The following is a 21,994-nucleotide window of genomic DNA, read 5'->3' as shown; positions in this document are numbered from 1 at the left end:
TAAAAATCAATAAGAAAGTAAAACTCACAGCAATTTATGCAAAATTGTGTTTTTCCTGCTTAGTAAGGCAAATGATCATGATGATAATGATAATGATGATGCTAATAATAAATGCCCATCTCTGTGGGTAAGAACCGTTTCATTCCTGCATTTCCAGAGAGACACACCCTTAGGTGTGTCTTAGAAAATGGCCTGGGTCTGAGGTAACAGGGGCACTAGTTGGCTAGGTATTTACCTGAGTGTGCTCTTCTATCATGGTAGAGTGGTAAAGAACATTGAAAACATAAATTCCAGTCCTGGTCTTCCACCTATATGCTGTGTGACTATTGACCTGTGTTATTTCACTTTCGTAGACCTTAGTTTTCTCTTATAAATTTAAATATAGCCAGATGCGGTGGCTCACGCCTGTAATCCCAACATTTTGGAAGGCCAAGACGGGAGGATCATTTGAGCCTCAGGAGTTTGAGACCAGCCTGGGCAACAAAAAGGAGATCCTGTCTCTATTTAAAATAAATAAATAAAATGAATTTAAGTATATATTTATGATATTAAATATATATATATATTTTGTAACAACAACAACTAACCCATCTGCAGACTTGTGCAGATTACAGGAGATGATTAAGTGACATATAGTGCCTGGAATGTCGTGGATGTTCAGCAGGTATTGGTTGAATTGTATGTGTATTATTTTGTCACAAGACAGCCTCACAATTGAGTGATAGTATGGTTTAAAGAGCAAACCATGGGGTTGTGAAGATGGTGAGACAGGGAAAACTGATGGTTAGTGGAACATTCCTGGAGGAAGGCTCTCAGGCAGTGGTGGTAGATATTCCTCCCCTTGGGTGGAGAAAAGTGAGAGTTTAGACTCCCTTTGGTCTGTTTGCCTGGGGCATTCTATGTTGCCTAGTGATCTCTGACATTTCTAAAGTCTTTTGGTCTGCAATGTGGAAAACCAGTGCTTCATCTGAATGGAGTCTGTCCTCAGCGCCCCCACCCCTCACCCCAGACCTTTAGGTCTCCGTCTAGCTTTAGCCCTATCCAGCCAGCTTTGACAAGGGAGGGGGCAGAGGCATTAGGAGATACTGCTTAGCACATTGTTGATGTGATGCTTTAGTTGCTACTGGTTTGTATTTTGAAATAACATTAAAACCAATAGGATGTGAAACTTGGGTTGTAAAATTAATTATGGCTGATGAGCAGAAGGATGCATTTTATAATTATTATAATCTGAGGGTTACAAGAGAGAACTCTCATTTAGGGATGGTTTGTGGGGTACAGCTCCTTTAATCTAGCAACACCTTGTTATAAGATTTCTATGTTAAACAGAGCGATAAATTCTTCATTTAAAGTGAGAAATGTAGCTGACAAATGGAGCAGAATCTCTAATTCATTTGCTCGGTGCATCCTCTCCCTTTGAGCAGCCAGTTGCAGAAGTGAGGACAAGAAACCCAGCAAAGAAGGAAGTCAGTCTTGAGGGAAGCTTCCATCCAGGCCCAGGTGAGGCCGATGAAACACACCTGTCCCTCATAGAAGCACCAAGTCTTTCGTAACTAAGGTGCCGTGTTATTGCTCTTCAGACACCTCTTTCCAAGTCCCCACCTGCTTTTGTGAAAAAGTCTTTATTCACTGTATATACACAGTTGTCCATTTTGTCTTTCATAATTATAATCACATCCATTCATAGGCTTCTTAAATAATACTGTAAACACCCTGACGGGTAGGTTTGTGCATTTTTCCCCCAATACTCCTTTTTTTTTTTGAGATGGAGTCTTGCTCCCAGGCTGGAGTGAAGTGGCGCGATCTTGGCTCACTGCAACCCCCGCCTCCCAGGTTCAAGCAATTCTCCTGCCTCAGCCTATCCCGAGTAGCAGGGATTACAGGTGTTTCACCACCACGCCCAGCTAATTTTTGTATTTTTAGTAGAGACAGGGTTTCACCATGTTGGCCAGGCTGGTCTCGAACTCCTGACCTCAGGATCTGCCTTCCTTAGCCTCCCAAAGTTCTGGGATTACAGGCACGAGCTACCGCGCTCAGCCCCTTCCCGCAAAACTCTTTATTCAGTAATGTCAGCACTCTCTTAGCTCTCTTGGATTCCTTTTTTTTTTTTTTTTTTTTGAGACAGAGTCTTGCTCTGTCACCCAGGCTGGAGTGCAGCGGCACGATCTAGGCTCACTGCAACCTCCACCTCCTGGGTTCAAGCGATTCTCCTGCCTCAGCCTCCCAAGTAGCTGGGACTACAGGCGCGTACCACCACGCCCGACTAATTTTTTTGTATTTTTAGCAGAGATGGGTTTTCACCGTGTTAGCCAGGATGGTCTCAATCTCCTGACCTCATGATCCGCCCACCTCAGCTCCCAAAATGGGATTACAGGCATAAGCCACCGTGCCTGGCCCTTTTTTTTTTTTTTTTTTAAATACAGGGTCTCTGTTGCCCAGGCTCAAGTGTAGTGGCACAATTATAGCTCGCTGCAGTCTGGAATGCCTGAGCTCAAGCCACTCTCCCACCTCAGTCTCCCAAGTAGTTGGAACTACAGGCAGATGCCACTATGCCTGGCTAATTTTTAAAATTCTTTTTAGAAACGGGGTCTCACTATGTTGCCAAGGTTGGTGTCAAACTCCTGGTTTTAAGTGATCCTCCCATGTAGCTGGGATTTCAGGCATGAGCCACCGTGCTCTGCTCTCTCTTGGGTTACTCTTATTCATCACTAATATCATCCATTCTTTAGAGTAATAAATCTTATTTTTCTAGTTTCTAAGTTTTTAGAGGAACACCTTACTTTCCTCAATCTATCAACATTAGTAATAAGCCATGTTAATGCTTGTTCAATCTTCAAGGCTCTAAAAGCCATATTTTCCTATTTCTAGGTCTATAAATTAGTGTGAAATCAAAGTTTGCCTTACGGATTCACGTTTTACCTTATAGATTTGCCGTGTAACAGCAGGATTACCATTCAGGTGGCTAGAGTCACTGTTGTAAGCAAACTTCCAGACAATTTTAAAAATGCATTTTAATGACTTAGTACCAGAGGCTTTCACCACTTGTGACTATATAAAGAGGAAGATTTTTAAATTCTATCGATGATGATTACAATCACATAAAATTGTCTTCAAACTATAGATCCAGTGACCTCAGTATCAAAACGACCTCAATTCCAGGGGCGGTTCTTAGGTGCTCAGCTGAAATTACCCTCTTACCAAAATATCTATATTTTTAAAAATAATTTTATCAAAACTAGGAATTTTTAAACGTTAGATTAGCAACTAAGAAAGAAACTCTTGTAGTCAGGTGTGGTGACTCACACCTATAATCCCAGCACTTTGGGAGGCCAAGGCGGGTGGATCACCTGAGGTCAGGAGTTCAAAACCAGCCTGGCCAACATGGTAAAACCCCGTCTCTACTAAAACTACAAAATTAGCCGGACGTGGTGGCTGGCGCCTGTAATCCCAGTTACTCCATAGGCTGAGGCAGGAGAATCGCTGGAACCCAGGAGGCGGAGGTTGCAGTGAGCTGAGAACATGCCATTGTTACTCCAGCCTGGACAACAGAGTGAGACTCCATCTCAAAAGAAAAAAAGAAAGAAATAAACTTGCTTTACAAATTGTGATAAACTTTAGGAACTAATATAATATGTGCCCTATAGTAAAGTAAGCCAACGTCTAGAGGTAACATTGTTGTGACATAACAATGCAATAAGTATGCATTCTACTGCTGCTATTTATTATTCCTCATTTCCCAATCTTGCTTTTGTCCTTTTTTTATACGAATACATCATTTTGCCTAATTACATAAATAAATATCTTCATTTGTAAAATTGGAGATCTAATAAAATCCCACAGATCTCTTCCAGGTCTAACATCCTGTGGTTTCTTAGTCTTTTCCTCAGATCACTCAGTATCTCTTCTTCACAGCAAGATACCCAGCTTGAATTCAGAGAATCTTTAAGTGGTACAGGATACTATGCAAATGCAAAAAAGTCACTGTTTGACAGAGGAGAAATGAAATGCTAATAATAAGTGGGCATAATTCATGACAACCATTATGATTCTAATGAGCGAATCATGATGGCAAAACCAACAACTTAAACCTATATGGGAACTATGTTTGTGTTCTAGTTTTGATAGACGATAGAGCCACATTCTGTTTTTTGGAACACAGTCTGTATAAATCAGTGATACCAAGTGATAAACTCAGTAGCTCTTTGAGGCACCTTTACTTTTAAAAAAATTGTATCTAACTTTTTAATATGTAACTTTGATTTTTAAATAATTTTAAATTCACAGAAAGGTAGCAAGAATAAAACAAGGGAACTCATATATGCTTTACAGATTCACCAACTTTTAAAAATTTGCTATGTATTATTCTTTAACCATTTGAGAGTAGGTGGCGTGCATCTTCTCCATTTATCCCTTTATACTTCAATGTGTATTTTTTTTTTTTTTTTGAGACAGAGTCTCACTCTGTCGCCTAGGCTGGAGTGCAGTGGCACGATCTCGGGTTCAACCTCTGCCTTCCAGGTTCAAGCAATTCTCTGTCTCAGCCTCCCGAGTAGCTGGGATTACAGGCGCCCTTCACCACGCCCGGCTAATTTTTGTATTTTTAGTAGAGACGGGGCTTCACCATCTTGGCCAGGCTGGTCTTGAACTCCTGACCTCAGGTGATCCACCTGCCTCGGTCTCCCAAAGTGCTGGGATTACAGGCGTGAGACACTGCACCCGGACCAATGTGTATGTTTTAAGAACAAGGATATTCTTTATGTAGTCACAGTACAGTTAACAAGTTGAGAAAATTCAATAGTGCCAGAATATTTCTACTGGAGAGTGTGTGTTCCAATTTTGTCCATTTATTTAACAATGAAATTTATAGCATTTTCCTTCTTCAGTATAGAATTCATTCTAGGTTCATGTATTGCATTTAGTTGCCATTACGGCTAATTCTCCTTTAATCTGAAACAGTCCCTCAGTCTTTGTTTTTCCTGATCTTGACATTTTTCTTACAGATGGTTGCTACATGGAATATCCCTCCACGTGGGCTTGTTTGATGGTTCCTCATGATTAGATTCAGGCTACGCATCACCATATAATGATGTTATCTCCTTCTCAAGGTGTTTCTTCTATAAGCACATGATGTTAATCATCTCACTGGCAATTTCTTTTTTCTTTTTTTCTTTTCTAATTTTTATTTTTATTTATTTTTAATTTTTTAACTTTTATTGTAGGTTTGGGGGTACATATACAGGTTTGTTACATGGGTAAATTGCATGTTGCTGAGGTTTAGTGCACAAATGATTTCATCACCCACGTAGTGAGCACAGTACCCAATAGGTAGCTTATAGACGTTCATCCTCCTCCCACCCTCTACCCTCGAGTAGACCTGAGTCTATTTTTCTCCTCTTTGTGTCCATGTGTACTCAATGTTCAGCTCCCACTTGTAAGTGATAACACATGGCATTTGGTTTTCTGTTCCTACATCAATTTACTTAGAATAATGGCCTCCAGCTGCATCCATGTTGCAGCAAAGACATTATTTTGTTCTTTTTTATGGCTGTGTAGTATTCCATGGTGCATATGTACCACATTTTCTTTCTCCAGTCCACCATTGATGGGCATCTAGGTTGATTCCATGTCTTTGCTATTGTGAATAGTGCTGCAACGAACATAAGAGTGTGTGTGTCTGTGATGGTTAATATTGTCAACTTGGTTGGATTGAAGGATGCAAAGTATTGTTTCTGGGTGTCTGTGAGGGTGTTGCCAAAGGAGATTAACATTTGAGTCAGTGGACTGGAAGAGGCAGACCCACCCTCAGTCAGGGTGGGCAGCATCTAATCAGCTGCCAGCACGGTTAGAATAAAGCAGGCAGTAGGTGGAAAGAGATTTGCTGAGTCTCCCAGCCTTCATCTTTCTCCCGTGCTGGGTGCTTCCTGCCCTCGAACATTGGACTCCAAATTCTTCAGCTTTTGGACTCTTGGACCTACACTAGTGGTTTGCCAGGGGTTCTTAGACCTTTGGCCACAGACTGAAGGCTGCACTGTCAGCTTCCCTACTTTTGAAGTTTTGGGACTTGGACTGGCTTCCTTACTCCTCAGCTTGCAGATGGCCTGTTGTGGGACTTCACCTTGTGATGGTGTGAGTCAATACTAGTTAATAAACTCCCCTTCAGATATAATTCTATCCTATTAGTTCTGTCCTTCTAGAGAACCCTGACTAATACAGTGTCTTTTTGGTAGAATAATTTATATTCCTTTGGGTGCATACCCAGTAATGGGATTGCTGTGTCAAATGGTAGCTGTGTTTTTTGAGAAATCTCCAAACTGCTCTCCACAGTGGCTGAACATTCCCACCAGCACTGTATAAGCATTCCCTTTGCTTTACCACCTCACTAGAATGTTATTTTTGACTTTTTAATAATAGCCGTTCTGACTGGTATGAGATAGTATCTCCTTGTGGTTTTGATTTGCATTTCTCTAATGATAAGTGAGGTTGAGCATTTTTTTTTTATGCTTGTTGGCTGCAAGTATGTCTTTTGAGGAGTGTCTGTTCATATACTTTGCCTATTTTTTAATGGAGTTTGTTTTTGCTTGTTGATTTGTTTAGGTTCCTTATAGATTCTGGATATTAGACCTTTGTTGGATGCATAGTTTGCAAACATTTTCTCCCGTTCTGTAGGTTGTCTATTTACTCTGTTGATAGTTTCTTTTGCTATGCAGAGGCTCTTTAGTTTAATTAAGTCCCACTTTTCTTTTCTTTCTTTTTTTTTTTTTTTTTGAGATGGAGTTATGGGTCTGTCTCCCAGGCTGGAGTTCAGAGGCATGATCTCAGCTCACTGCAACCTCTGCCTCCCAAGGCCAAGCGATTCTCGTGCCTCAGCCTCCCGAGTAGCTGGGACTACAGGCGCCCGCCATCACGCCCAGCTAATTTTTATATTTTTAGTAGAGACAGGGTTTTGCCATGTTGGCCAGGCTGGTCTCGAACTCCTGACCTCAGGTGATCTGCCCACCTCAGCCTCCCAAAGTGCTGGGATTACAGGTGTGAGCCACCGGGCCCAGCCTGAGCCACTGTGCCTGGCTGAGTCCCACTTTTCTGTTTTTGGTTTTGTTGCAATTACTTTTGGAGACTTCATCATGCAATATTTGCCAAGGCCTATGTCCATAATGGTATTTTCTAGATTTTCTTCTAAGGATTTTATAGTTTTAGGTCTTACACTTAAATCTTTATTCCATCTTGGATTGATTTTTATATATGGTGCAAGGAAGGGGTCCAGTTTCAATCTTCTCCATATGGCTAGCTAGTTATTCCTGCACCATTTATTGAATAGGGAATCCTTTCCCCATTGCTTGTTTTTGTTGGCTTTGTCAAAGATCAGGTGGTTGTAGGTATGCAGCTTTATTTCTGGGTTCTCTATTCTGTTCTATTGGTCTATGTGTCTGTTTTTGTGCCAGTACCATGCTGTTTTGATTACTGTAGCCTTGTAATATGGGTTGATGTAGGGTAGGGTGATGCATCCAGCTTTGTTCTTTCTGCTTAGGATTGCTTTGGCTATTAAGTCTCTTTTTTGGTTTCATATTAGTTTGAAAACAGTTTTTTCCAGTTTGATAGGAATAGCATTGAATCTGTAGATTGCTTTGGGCAGTATGGCCATTTTAACAATATTGATTCTTCCAGTCCATAAGGATGGAATGTTTTTCTTTTTGTTTGTGTCATCTCTGATTTCTTTGAGCATTGTTTTGTAGTTCTCCTTGTAGAGATCTTTCACTTCCATGGTTAGCTGTATTCCTAGGTATTTTATTCTTTTTGTGGCTATTGTGAATGGGATTGCATTGTTAATTTGGCTCTCAGCTTGGATATTATTGGTGTATAGAAATGCTACTGATTTTTGTGCCTTGACTTTGTATCCTGAAGCTTTACTGAAGTTATTTATCACTGTGAGTCTTTCGGCAGAGCCTGTGGGATTTTCTAGATGTAGACTCATATCTGTGAAGAGAGATAGTTTGGCTTGCTCTCTTCCTGTTTGGATGCCTTTTATTTCTTTCTCTTGCCTACTTGCTCTGGCTAGAACTTCCCTCACTGGCGATTTCTTTCTGGTCACCTGGTTATGGTGTGGTCTTGTTTCTTTTACTGTTTACCCATTTATGACTAATAAGCCATTTATGGGGTCACATCTATTTCTTATACTAGCGTTTGCCCCAAATTTGTAAAATTAGAAGTCTAATAAAATGGCAGGATCATCATCATAGATTTTTTTATTTTTGAGACAGTCTCACTCTGTCGCCCAGGCTGGAGTGCAGTGGCACGATCTCAGCTCACTGCAACCTCCACTTCTTAGGTTCAAGCAATTCTCCTGCCTCAGCCTCCCGAGTGGCACCCGCCGCCACACCCAGCTAATTTTTGTATTTTAGTAGAGACCGGGTTTCACAATGTTGGCCAGGCTGATCTCAAACTCCTGACCTCGTGATCCACCTGCCTTAGCCTCCTAAAGTGCTGGGATTACAGGCGTGAGCCACCGCGCCTGGCCAATAAAAAAAAAAATTTTTTTTAAATGTCTCTGTCACCCAGGCTGGAGCGCAGTGGCACAATGTCAGCTCATTGCAACCTCCACCTCCCAGGTTCAAGCGATTCTCCTGCTTCAGCCTCCCGAGTGGCACCTGCCACCATGCCCGGCTAATTTTTGTATTTTGAGTAGAAGTGGAGTTCCACCATGTTGTCCAGGCTGGTCTCGAACTCCTGACCTCAAGTGATCTGCCTACCTCAGTCTCCCAAAGTGCTAGGATTACAGTCATGAGCCACCACACCCGGCCAGAATTCTTTTAAAAAATATTTTCTAAGTATGTGATTGAGACTATAAACTCTAAAGTCAAATGCCTTAGGTTTAAATCCAATTCCACCACTTTTTGCTGGAAAACACGATAAGTGACCTTACTTCCCTTTGCTTCAATTCCGTCATCTATAAAAATTTAGGAGATGAAAATAATGCCCCAGTTCATGGTGTTGTTACAGAATTAAATGAGTTTATAATACATATCTGGCACATAAAACACACAATAAATCTTGGATTTTATATGTAATATATTTATATTTTATACATAATATATACTTTTTAGGGCACTCTTAACAATATAGGATAGTAAATAAAAATCCAAATAATGAAGTAATTATTTTTTTTATTGTCCCCCAAATTTTATTAATATAAACAATGTGTAAGTGGACATATTTGAGCCAAATCATTCAAATATAATGATCATTTAAATATGAATCACAACCTATGATTAATTCCACAGGGTAAACACCAAGAAGTTAAAAAAATGGGTTAAAATATATGTATACATTTAAGATTCTCAAAGCGTACTACAAACCCCCAATTTTTTTGTATACTTTCCTCAGCAACAAACACAATTATCAGTCTCTTGATACTTATTTCAATTTTAGATATTATCTTTTTTACATATGTGTTTTAAATTTTTTTCCATAGGTTATTAAGGTACAGGTGGCATTTGATTACATGAGTAAGTTCTTCAGTGGTGCTTTGTGGGATTTTGGTGCACACATCACCTGAGCAGTACACACTGCACCCTATTTGTAGTCTTTTATTCCTCGCCCTCCTCCCACCCTGAAGTAATTATTTTAGACGCAGCTGTTATTCTTCTACCACTAGATCTAAAACATAAATTTAGACAGATCTATTTTTATAAATTACTTGCAAGTGTTTTGATGTTTTTTGTCATTCATTTCTTGAACAAATTTGCACCAAGCTCTTATAATGTGCCAGGCACGGATGTAGGCACTGGGTATACAGTGGTGAACTAGATGGCTCATGTGGAGATTTTATTCTACTGGAGAATATAGTTAAGAAGTAAATATATAAGTTAGATAATTCCAGGTAGTACCAATTGTTCTGAAAAAAAAAAAAAAAAAAAAAAAAAAAAAAAAAACAGGGCGATGTGATAGACAGAGCCTGGGGTGTCAATATCAGATGACTCAGTCAGGGAAAACATTTTGGTGACCTACATATTTAATGTCTCTTCACTGCTTATCTAACAAAATTTTTCATAGAATTATGATTTGAATTGAAACAACATGGAACAAATCCTTCCTAGTACATTAAGCTATATAAATAAGATATTATCACAGTTGTGTAATGTTTTTACTATTGCAGAACATGTATCAGTTAAACTGATCTTTCATAGTGCTGCTCTTAATTGAAAATCTGCCCCCCTTTATCATCATCCCTTCCTAATTAAGCTGCTGATGTCATTGATTGCATACTTCCATTTGAAAACTAGCTGCATGAATACTTCTTCCTTCCCTCTGCTGTATTTTCTATCCTAGCTGTTCTGGATGTAAGATGTCCTTTCAAATATGTTTCATTGTATAAAAACCACATTGAAACTTACCTCATAGCCTCATCATTCCTTAATTTTTCCATAGTCTCATTTGCCCAACCCAGTGCTGCATTGGCCTCAGAGATGGTGTAACACTCAAGGATTATCTTTTGTGTCTTTTGAGATCTTACTCAAGGTTTCTTGTGTAACCCTCCTTGGACTTGAGGTATTTGGGGCTTGAAAGTCAAACAGACTTTCCTTTGAAGTTTTCATTTGCCATTTAGCAGCTGTGTGACTTTGGGAGGGTTGCTTAACCTCCCTAGTCTCGTCTCTAACGTGTAGAGTAATTGTGAGGTTTAGATAAGGTGAAGTGAAATTATATACATGAAAGGCTAGCATAGCATCTTGCCTGGGGCTCAAGCTGATCATCAACTATGGTGTACTCTTCCTCCACTCTTACCCCTGGTGAACTCGGTGGAGCTAATGGAGCTAAGGAATCTCTCCAAGGAGTTCCTGAAACTGGCCAACTCCCTTCAAGGCAGAATTTCGTATCCTCAGAGGACAACAAATACCTAGATGATGAGGTAGTTTCCAAAACTACCTCAACAGGCTAGTCCAGGATTTCTTAACCTGGGAACCATAGACCCTAAAGCAGAGGAACTTGGGGTGTGCCAAGAGACAGCCAGGAGATGGAAAGGCCTTAAAAGCAAGCTTTGCGCATTCTGATTTGTGTGATTTGTGTCCCCAGTGACCAGAACAGACATACTTGCCTTTCTAGTTCTGCTCCATAGGAGTTCTGCTCTAGTTCTTGATCAAGTATTTATATAGCATTGCCATTTCATTTCTAATAAATTAGAATGTAATGGCTTCTCATAGTCCAGAACAGTATTTCTCAAAAATGTGATGTGCTTCAGAATCTGCTGGTTGCTTGTTAACTATGCAGCTTTATGAACCCTCCAAAAGTACTAAATCAAAATCCCTGAGGGTGGAACCCAGAATCTACATTTAATAAATGTCACAAGTGACTCTTAAGGCAAATGGAAGTTATATACCTGGACTTTTACCATATATTTAACATGTATCTTAACCTTCTACTACTAATTTTTTTTCATTCAAATACAGAAAAGCATATGAGATTCTGAAAATGTCTGATTTGTAAAATGATTTGTAAATTTCTGTAAAACAATTTTGCAAGTTTCTCATGAATTAATGCTTTGCCCAGATAATCTTTCTACAATAGGGTGAGTATAAAGTATAAGAAAAATACTGATCAGCCCTGTGCAATGGCTCACGCCTGTAATCCCAAAACTTTGGGTGGCCAAGGCAGGCAGACCACTTGAGCTCAGGAGTTCCAGACCAGCCTGGGCAACATAGAGAAACTCCATTGCTACAAAAAATACAAAAATTGGCCAGGTGTAGTGGTGAGCACCTGTGGCCCCAGCTACTTGGGAGGCTGAGGTGGACAATTGTTTAAGCCCAGGAGGTTGAGGCTGCAGTGAGCTGTGATTGTGCCACTGCACTCCAGCCTGGAAGCCTGGGTGACAGAGTGAGACCCTGTAAAAAAAAAAAGGTAGGGAGTGGGAGGTGAGAGGAGGGGAGGGGAACGGAGGGAGGGGAAGGGAAGGGTAAAGGGAAGGCTGATCAATTTGGAAATTAGGTATCAATTTCTGTAAATTCACGAGTGAACCCTGCCTCCATCTACTCAGGAAAACAGTGATCTGAAAGGGATGCTCAGTGAGATTGCTTGTCTTAGCTCTTTTGCTTGGCTTTAGTTTCCATATACAAGGTGTACGGCTAACGTGCACATATGCAGTCCTCATATTTGGGAAGCTGGGGCAGACTTGATGCTCTCCACCCCAGCCTGAGGTATATGATTTCTACAACCACAGACCCCCTAGTGTTGCTTTTGGGTCCTATGGCTTTAAAAGAGGGGTGGCAACCAGGTGGAGATTCTGCACATACACAGTAGCCAGGATTATACCTATAGGTATTTCTTTGTCTCTGTGGATTTTGAAGACACCATGTATTATACAAGTATGATCAGGATTCTTCTGACCAGAAATGGTTGGCTAAGTCTGAAGTTTTTATTTTTTTTTTAATCTTCTAAACAGAGTTGCATAAAGGTAAGAAATTTAAAAATGGGCTCTGGGGTCCAAAAAATCTGACTTCAATTCTGACCCTACCATCGCAAACTACGTGACCTTAGGTCTCAGTGAGGATTAAATGTCTTAATATATATAAAGTATATGGCATGTAGTAGTCTTAACAAAAGGCTGTTATCAGGAATATTCTTTCATGTAAAATGTAAACACCTATTCAAATACAAACCTGAGAAGGGAGGAAGGATGGGATGTACCTAACACTGACAAGGTGGTTTTGCTTTTGGAAGGAGACTGGGAGTCAGTGTGAAGGTGCTTGTCTTTTGGTTAGATTTGGGAGGCCACACCTAGGTCCAGGCTCTGCAGCAGCTAAGGAAAGACTTCCCCGAACTTTCTAGACTTTACCAAAGGATACTTAATGGTGGAAGAGATGGAGGGAGAGGAAATATGTGAGGATCTAGGGAAGAGCCCTAAGCAATTGTGCCAAACATAAAATTTCACTCTCTGCAACATATACACATTTACTTTTGTATAAAAATGATGCTTTGCCCCTGCCCCCCACAAATCGTTATGGTAAATTGATAGTCTAGAAAGTTGCACTCTGTGTATCCTAAAACCTAAAATGCCCATGGGTGAGTACATACGCAGCAGTTTGAGAAACAGGCATTGAAAGTCGAAAGGATAAGCCCACATCCCTTCATAGGGCCCTTCACAGTCTGAGTGCCAGTTACCTACTCTGCTCTCTGTCCCTTCCAAATGCCTCCCCACTTCCCAGACACAGAAGGCCCTTTAGCTGCCTGAGGCCTTTATTTCGGTGCTTCCAGCCTGCCTGAAGTGAAGGGCCTTCCTTCCAACTCTCCTTTAGGAATTTGGGCTGCTATAATGACATACTACAGACTTAGTGGCTTATTAACAACCACCATTTATTTCTTGCAGTTCTGGAAGCTGGGCAGTTCAAAGTCAAGGTGCCGGCAGATCCAGTGTCTGGTGAGGGCCAGTGGTCTCCCGGTCTCTGATGGTGCCTTCTTGCTGCATCCTCACCGGGAGGAAAGGCTGAGGTAGCTCCCTGGGCCTTTCACAAGGGCACGAATCCCATTCATGAGGGCTCTACCCTCGCGACCTAATCACCTCCCAAAAGCCCCGTCTCTTAATACTATCACTTTGGGGGTTAGGATTTCAACATATGAATTTGCAGGGGACACAAACATTCAGGCCACAGCATCCTTCTTCCCTACTTCCCCCCCACAATCTAATTCCCCCTCCCAGATCCAGCTGAAAAACACTTTGGTGAAGCCTCCCCAGCTTCTCTAGGCAGGCAACAAGGCTCCCTCAGCACCCTTCTGGTACATTCCAGTAATTCCTCTCCTGTTCACTATGGAGATGAACCTAGTCTTATTCACCTTCATATCCCCTAGTGCAGGGGATATTTAGCAAGCATTCAATAAATTAGTATAGACAACTAATTAATGAAAGAAAGGTAACTGGAAATAGAGCTGTTTTAAAAAGATTTTTCCTTACACCCAAGATTGTCCTTTGGGCATGGAGGATAAGATGAGTCCAGCATTTTAAAGAGAAACATCCTGAATGATGTTAGCCCATATGCATTAATGTGGATCTGGTATATGCAAAAGGGCTTTGCATTAAGTATATGACTTTATTATACTTCCTCTTCACGTTATATATTTCTACGGAAAGATGATTTTTAAGTGAAAATTTTTAAATTTTGCAGATGGATTTGTTTGGAAAGTGAGGTAAGAGATGGTTTACCAAGACTGGTTCATTTTTTATTTCATATTTTTAGTTCGTCAGAGCAGGCTAAATTCAGTCCTCCTGTGATTTTTCTCAGAAGTTTTCCCCTTTAAATAGATAAGTAATTATGTGAAAAACACACACACACAACACATACACACACACACTCACACACAGACACACAGCCGTTAAGAGGAAATCAATTATGCCATTATAGGAATCCAGTATTCTGGGAACCTTGCTATATTTGGCTTTAGATACACAATAAGCACTGAAAATTGTTAGATGCAGCAGTTCGGTTTATTGAATTGCAGATACTAGAAATAACAACAACTAAGAAAAGATCCAAAAAAAATTTACTTATGAAATATGCTGCTGCCCTGGAGGCCTGCATTAACTTCTACCTATTAGTATGTTAGTAATCCCACATACAATAGTGCTAGGGCATATCAATATCTTAAAGAAATATAGGATCAGGGTTATAAGTTTATTTTTAATCTTCATTTCTACTCTTATTTATCCATACTATAATTGCCTGTAGGGCCTGTTTGAGAGTCAGTTCAAGAATTATTTATTACGCTTCCACTATCTGTCAGGTCTACACATACTTAATGCTTTGACTGTAACAATGAATAGGACATGGTCCCTGATCGTCAGGAACTCATAATCAAAGAGAGATGTAAAGAAATACATACAATACAGCTCTTTTATTAAGCCCAGGGACCTAATGTCTCCCTTCATGAATTGACCTAATTAGCATATGCTTTACCTTATTAACAAAATTGTAAGCATACATCCTTCTCTGGAAATCTCGAATTCACTTCAAAATGTGTATCAGTTTAAGCAGTCATGAGCAGCCACACACCAGCATGTGTGCTGAAGACACTGATAACTACAAAGGCAACAAGAGCATGCAAATTTGAATGCTAAAGTTGTATTTTTTTAACTGGGAAATAAAAATGATGAATTATTACTTGCACTATAAGCTTAGCTTTAAAATAAATACTGCTTTATTTTAGGCAAATACAGTAAGAATTCTTTCCTGTTTAAATGGAAATTATATTTCTAACTTTACTTTTTAAAAAACATTAATATTGGGCCAGGCACAGTGGCTCATGCCTATATATTTCCTGCACTTTGGGAGGCCGAGGCAGGAAGATGGCTTGAGCTTAAGACCAGCCTGGGCAACATGGCAAAACTTCATCTCCATAAAAAAATACAAAAATGAGCCAGGTGCGGTGGCATGTGCCTATGTTTACAGCTACTTGGGGGCTGAGACTGGAGGATCACTTGAGCCCAGGAGGAAGAGGCTGCAGAGAGCCACTGCACACTAGCCTGGGTGACAAAGTGAGACTCTGTCTCAAAAAACAAACAAAAAGAGTATCCTTCTGCAAATTTTGCCCCTAATTCAACCTTATTAAATTAATTAATGTCTTCCAAACTGTAAACTGTCAGCCTTTTCTGGGATGTTTTCTGAGGTTACTCCTTAATGAATAACCAAGGAATTTTGAAGACAATTGCTTCCAACTAAGTATTGCTCATTTCTAAGTGGTTCCAACTGAATTTTAATTACGTGTTTTCTTTAGATGTAGCATCAGTTGGTAAACCTCCAAGAACAAAGATCACAGAGATGTCTATGGTTGAAAATGGATCAAAGAGAATTCACAATGTCCAGAAAGAGAGGAGTGAGGCAACAAGGTGATCATTATCAAGTTCCTCACCTCCGAGAACCCAGGTATGTAAACACTCAATAAATGTTGAGGGAAGCTGGTGATCTACCTGGAAACTTAAGAGAAAATTAACCACCGTGAAATGGTTTCACAGGTTATCACACACAGGAACCATTGTGTCCGGAATTGGTTCCTTCCGGTGGGTTCTTGGTCTTGCTGACTTCAAGAATGAAGCCTCAGACCCTCGTGGTGAGTTGTTACAGTTCTTAAAGATGGTGTGTCTGGAGTTTGTTCCTTCCGATGTGTCCAGAGTTTCTTCCTTCTGGTGGGTTCGTGGTCTTCCTGACTTTAGGAGTGAAGCCGCAGACCTTCACAGTGAGTGTTACAGCTTTTAAAGGCGACATGTCCAGAGTTTTTGTTCCTCCCGGTGGGTTCGTGGTCTTGCTGACTTCAGGAATAAAGCTGCAGACCTTCATGGTGAGTGTTACAGCTCCTAAAGTTAGTACACACCCAAAGAGTGAGAAGCAGCAAGATTTATCGTGAAGAGCAAAAGAACAAAGCTCCAACAGCATGGAAAAGGACCCAAGCGGGTTGCTGCTGCTGGCTCGGGTGGCCAGCTTTTATTCCCTTATTTGGCCCCACCCACATCCTGCTGATTGGTCCATTTTACAGAGAGCTGATTGGTCCATTTTACAGAGAGCTGATTGGTCCATTTTACAGGGTGCTGATTGGTGCGTTTACAATATGTTAGCTAGACACAGAGCACTGATTGGTGCATTTTTACAGAGTGTTGATTGGTGTGTTTACAATCCTTTAACTAGACACAGAGTGCTGATTGGTGTGTTTTTACAGAGTGCTGATTGGTGCGTTTACAATCCTCTAGCTAGACACAGAGCGCTGATTGGTGTGTTTTTACAGAGTGCTGATTGGTGTGTTTACAATCCTCTAGCTAGACAGAAAAGTTCTCCAAGTCCCCACTTGACCCAGGAAGTCCAGCTGGCTTCACCTCTCACTATGTCTGGTTGGAGATTTTGCTTCCAGGAGCCATTGAATATAAATACTCCAGGAAGAAAATAAAAATGCTTTTACCCCATTGATATGATTTGGCTGTGTCCCCAGCCATATCTCATCTTGAATTCCCACATGTTGTGGGAGGGACCTGGTGGGAGGTAATTGAATCATGGGGGCAGGTCTCTCCCGTGCTGTTCTCATGATAGTGAGTAGGTCTTCAGCAGCATGAAAACCGACTAATACAGTAAATTGGTACCAGTAGAGTGGGGTGTTGCTGAATAGATACCCGAAAATGTGGAAGCAACTTTGGAACTGGGTAACAGGCAGAGGTTGGAACAGTTTGGAGGGCTCAGAAGAAGACAAGAAAGTGTGAGAAAGTTTGGAACTTCCTAGAAACTTGTTGAATGGCTTTGACAGAAATGCTGATAGTGATATAAACAATAAAGTCCAGGCTGAGGTGGTCTCAGATGTAGATGAGAAACTTGTTGGGAACTGGAGCAAAGGTGACTCTTGTTCTGTTTTAGCAAAGAGACTGGTGGCATTTTCTCCCTGCCCTAGAGATTTGTGGAACTTTGAATTTGAAAGAGATGATTTGGGGTATCTGGCAGAAGAAATGTCTAAGCAGCAAAACATTCAAGAGGTGACTTGGGTGCTGTTAAAGGCATTCTGTTTTATAAGGGAAGCAGAGCATAAAAGTTCAGAAAATTTGCAGCCTGACCACGTGATAGAAAAGAAAAACCCATTTTATGAGGAGAAATTCAAGCTGGCTGCAAAAATTTGCATAAGTAACAGGGAGTCGAATGTTAATCCCCAAGATAATGGGGAAAATGTTTCCAGGGCATGTCAGAGGTCTTTACAGCAGCCTCTCCCATCACAGGCCCGGAGGTCTAGGAGAAAATGGTTTTGTGGGCTAGGCCCAGGGTCCCTCTACTGTGTGCAGTCTAGGGACTTGGTGCCCTGCATCCTAGCCACTTCAGCCATGACTAAAAGAGGACAAGGTACAGCTTGGCTGTTGCTTCAGAGGGTGGAAACCCCAAGCCTTGGCAGCTTCCATGTGGTGTTGAGCTTGCAGGTGCACAGAAGTCAAGAATTGAGGTTTGAGAACCTCCATCTAGATTTCAGAAGATGTATGGAAACACCTGGATGCCCAGGCAAAAGTTTGCTGTGGGGCGTTTGGGGGGGCCTTTGTGTGGGGGGCCCTCATGGAGAACTTCTGCTAGAGCAGTGCAGAAGGGAAATGTGGGGTCAGAGGCCCCACATAGAGTTCCTGCTGGGGCACTGCCTAGTGGAGCTGTGAGAAGAGGGCCACTGTCCTCCAGACCCCAGAATGGTAGATCCACTGATAGATTGCACCGTGTGCCTGGAAAAGCTGCAGACACTTAACTCCAGCCTGTGAAAGCAGCCTGGAAAGGGGCTATACCCTGCAAAGCCACAGGGGCAGAGCTGTCCAAGACTGTGAGAACCCACCTCTTGCATCAGTGTGTCCTGGATGTGAGATATGGAGTCAAAAGGGATCATTTTAGAGCTTTAAGATTTGACTGCCCTGCTGGATTTCAGACTTGCATGGGGCCTGTAGCCCCTTTGTTTTGGCCAATGTCTCCCATTTGGAATGACTGTATTTATCCAACGCCTGTACCCCTGTTGTATCTAGGAAGTAACTAACTTGCTTTTGATTTTACAGGCTCATAGGTGGAAGGGACTTGCCTTGTCTGGGATATGACTTTGGACTGTGGACTTTTTATTTAATGCTGAAATGAAATAAGACTTTGGGGGACTGTTGGGAAGGCATGATTGGCTTCGAAATATGAGGACATGAGATTTGGAAGGGGCCAGGGGTGAATGATATGGTTTGGCTGTGTCCCCACCCAAATCTCTTCTTGAATTCCCTTGTGTTGTGGGGGGGACCCGGTGGGAGGTAATTGAATCATGGGGACAGGTCTTTCCCATGCTATTCTCGTGATAGTGAGTAGGTCCCATGAGATCTGATGGTTATGATAAGGGGTAGTTTTTCTGCACAAGCTCTCTTTGATTGCTGCTATTCATGTAATAAGTGACTTGTTCCTCCTTGCCTTCACCATGATTGTGAGGCTTCCCTCACAATCCACATGGAACTGTAAGTCCAATTAAACCTCTTTCTTTTGTAAATTGCCCAGTCTTGGGTATCTTTACCCAAATGTCTTTATCAGCAGCCTGAAAACGGACTAATACATTCATTTGATTTCCCTGGAGGAAAATAAGGCTGGTGTTCTATTTTTTTTTTTTTTTTTTAAACGGAGTCTCACACTATTACCAGGCTTGAGTGCAGTGGCACGATCTTGGCTCACTGCAACCTGCACCTCCTGAGTTCAAGCGATTTTCCTGCCTCAGCCTCCTCAGTAGCTGGGACGATAGGCATGCGCTACCACACCCAGCTAATTTTTTGTATTATTAGTAGAGACGGGATTTCAGCATATTGGGCAGGACGGTCTCCATTTCTTGACCTCGTGATCCTCCTGCCTCGGCCTCCCAAAGTGCTGGGATTACAGACGTGAGTCACCACATCCGGCCAGTTGGCTGGTGTTCTTAAGCAGAACATGTATACTCTCACACCTTTACAAAAAGATCTATTGAGAGATAATTTACTCATTGACACTGTGATTCAGGCTTGACTGACAAAATGACTGTAATACCTGTTCTTATTGTAGCCGGCCATGCTTGGGTTAGGATCAGGCATTCATATTCACACTTCCGACTGTAGAAAGGAAAAATTCTGACTATAGAAAGGAGAAAGGAAACTGTAATGATACGAATGAAGTATTTGATTTCAAAGGTATGTTTGAAATCATCTGCCACTCACAGAGTGGAATTGTAACATCAGAATCTAGACCCCCATCCAAAATTAAATTGCCAGTAAGTTATGGCACATTTTAGGAAAACTCGTGGTGCTCTCGTTCTCACGTAGTGCTCAACTTAGTCCTCTCGACAAATTTGCCATATTTCACTCTATTCTTCAGTCTCGCTATACATTATCTTTTTGAGGGCACAGATGGTGTCTTACTCACCAGCAGATTTCCAGTAGCTAGTACACTACTGGGTACACGTTAAATCCTTTAAAAACAGTTGTTAAAGAAGTACAAGGACATCCATTAAAACGCCTAGATTTTTATTACCAATCTGCAAAATTAACATAAATGGCTAATCATATTATTGATATAACTGAGGCTATGTATAAGACCTGTTGCAATGATGCAAAGCAGCACAGGAGTTCCTTATACATTACCAAGGAGGAGATTTTGCATTTAAATCTTTTCATATGATTCCAAGATAATCTTGAAAATCTTTGAACATACTTTCTTTTATAACTGCAGGCGCCATTGGCTAATTTTCTGGAACACACCTTTATACTCTGGTCCAACGGATTTTTTAAGATGTCTTCAAGACCATATCTGGAAAAAGAAATAAGCAAATGAACATTTATGGATGTTACACTATGCCCCCACATGCTGCACTAAATGCTTTCTTTATTTCCTTTGAAATGGTCATCACAGTTATCTTGTGACGTAGCCATTAAACTCTCATTTTATGAGTAAGGAAATCAGTGTCTTTATTTGTAACCTCTGAAGGAATGGAAAATAGATGGAATAGAAGCCATCCAGAGAAAAACTGTGCTCAGTCCTAAGATATGCCAGTACTGGAAGATATCCAGAGCAGATGAAATAGACAAAACACTGCTCCTCAAGGAATAACCACATGTCACAGCATCCTCTGTAATAAACACACAGTGTTGTTGAGTATATTCCCACGGGGCCTTTTAAAGTAATTGGATGAATCTAGAATTTAGCCTTGTGCATACAGTTGCTAGTGAATGGGTAAGTCAGTTGTCTTTGAGGCCAAGTTGGCCTATGTGGGTCACAATAAAATGCTGGAGTCCTCCCTCGGGCTCTGTCCTTAGAATTATTTATGTACACCACAACCATGTCCATAATTTGGCTATATAGAGCCTAGATGTACATCTCCAACTTGGACCTCTGTTGAATTTCAGCCTCAGATAAACTGACTCCCAGACATCTCTAAAACGTGTCTTATGTTGGGCCCTTGATATTTTCTCATCAAATCAGCTTCTTCTCCATCAATGACAAATCAATTGTTAACGCTCTTCATGATCCGGCACTTCCTTACCTCCCTGACTTCATCTCCTACTGCTCTCCTCTTTGCTCACTCTACCACAGGCACGTGGCCTTCATTGCTGCTTTCTAAGCATACTTGGCAAGCACCTGCCTCAGGACCTCTGCACTTGCAGTTCTCTTCTTGGGATACCTTTCCCCTAGATATTCACATGGCTTCCTCCTTCACCACCCTCAGGTCGTGCACAAACGGCACCTTCTCAATGAGGCCTTCCCATCTAAAATTATAACTCCCTTCCCACCCGCCCCTCCAAGTCACAAGCACTTTCTATCCCCTTCCCCCTCTTGCTTTACTTTTCTTAAAATTAATTTATTCTCACTCATTTTGGCAGTGAAAGTTGCTTTATTTTTCTCTTTTGCACTTAACACTATCTAACCATCTACTTATTTTTCTTATTATCAGTAAGAAACACTTGATGAAATCTTAGATGTCTTTGATAATAAGATGCAACATTATTTTTGTATCACAAGAAAAGAAAAACAGCTGCCAATTACAAATGTAAGATGGTACTAAGTCAGATTACAATTTCAGAGATTTTGAAGTGTGAAAAATTGTCCATCTTACATTTGATGAAATAAAGTATTTTCTTTATTGTTTTTCTCTCTCACTAAAATGCAAATTTCCATATGGATGTGGATTTTTTTTTTTTTGAAATGGGGTCTCGCTGTGTTGGCCGGGGTGGTCTCAAACCCCTGGTGTCAAGCAATCCTCCCGCCTTGACCTCCCAAAATGTTGGGGTTACAGGTGTGAACCACTGCACCCAGCCTAGATATGGATTTTTATGTTTGGTTCACTGCTGTATTATCTGGCGCGTGGTAGATGTTTAATAAATATTTGTTGAATAAATGTTCAAGAACTAATAAAAAAAGAATAAATAATAGACTCCTATATGAGCAGAGTATATCTGTTCTAATTGCCTTAGAAGATTGAAATCTAAGAAGAAAAAGATCATAGAGGATGTCAAAGCTTGATCTGAATTTCCTAG

At 41.0% G+C, this 21,994-nt stretch overlaps 1 long non-coding RNA gene across 2 annotated transcripts; it reads left to right on the top strand.

Annotated features, from left to right (window-relative positions):
- The first annotated feature begins 740 nt into the window (after positions 1-740).
- LOC105369701 (uncharacterized) lies at positions 741-16,079 on the top strand. Of its 2 annotated transcripts, none has more exons than XR_931444.2 (4): positions 741-783; positions 1,353-1,500; positions 15,751-15,899; positions 15,989-16,079. It is a non-coding gene; the product is annotated as an uncharacterized LOC105369701 (long non-coding RNA). The 2 variants fall into 2 exon arrangements; XR_931445.2 differs by having other exon boundaries at positions 754-783; positions 1,425-1,500.
- The last annotated feature ends 5,915 nt before the right edge of the window (positions 16,080-21,994 follow it).

The sequence above is a fragment of the Homo sapiens genome, chromosome 12 (genome assembly GCF_000001405.40).
Source record: "Homo sapiens chromosome 12, GRCh38.p14 Primary Assembly".
Lineage (NCBI taxonomy): Eukaryota > Metazoa > Chordata > Mammalia > Primates > Hominidae > Homo > Homo sapiens.
Note: the sequence above shows the minus strand (reverse complement) of the source record. Positions and strands in the feature narration are given on the sequence as shown.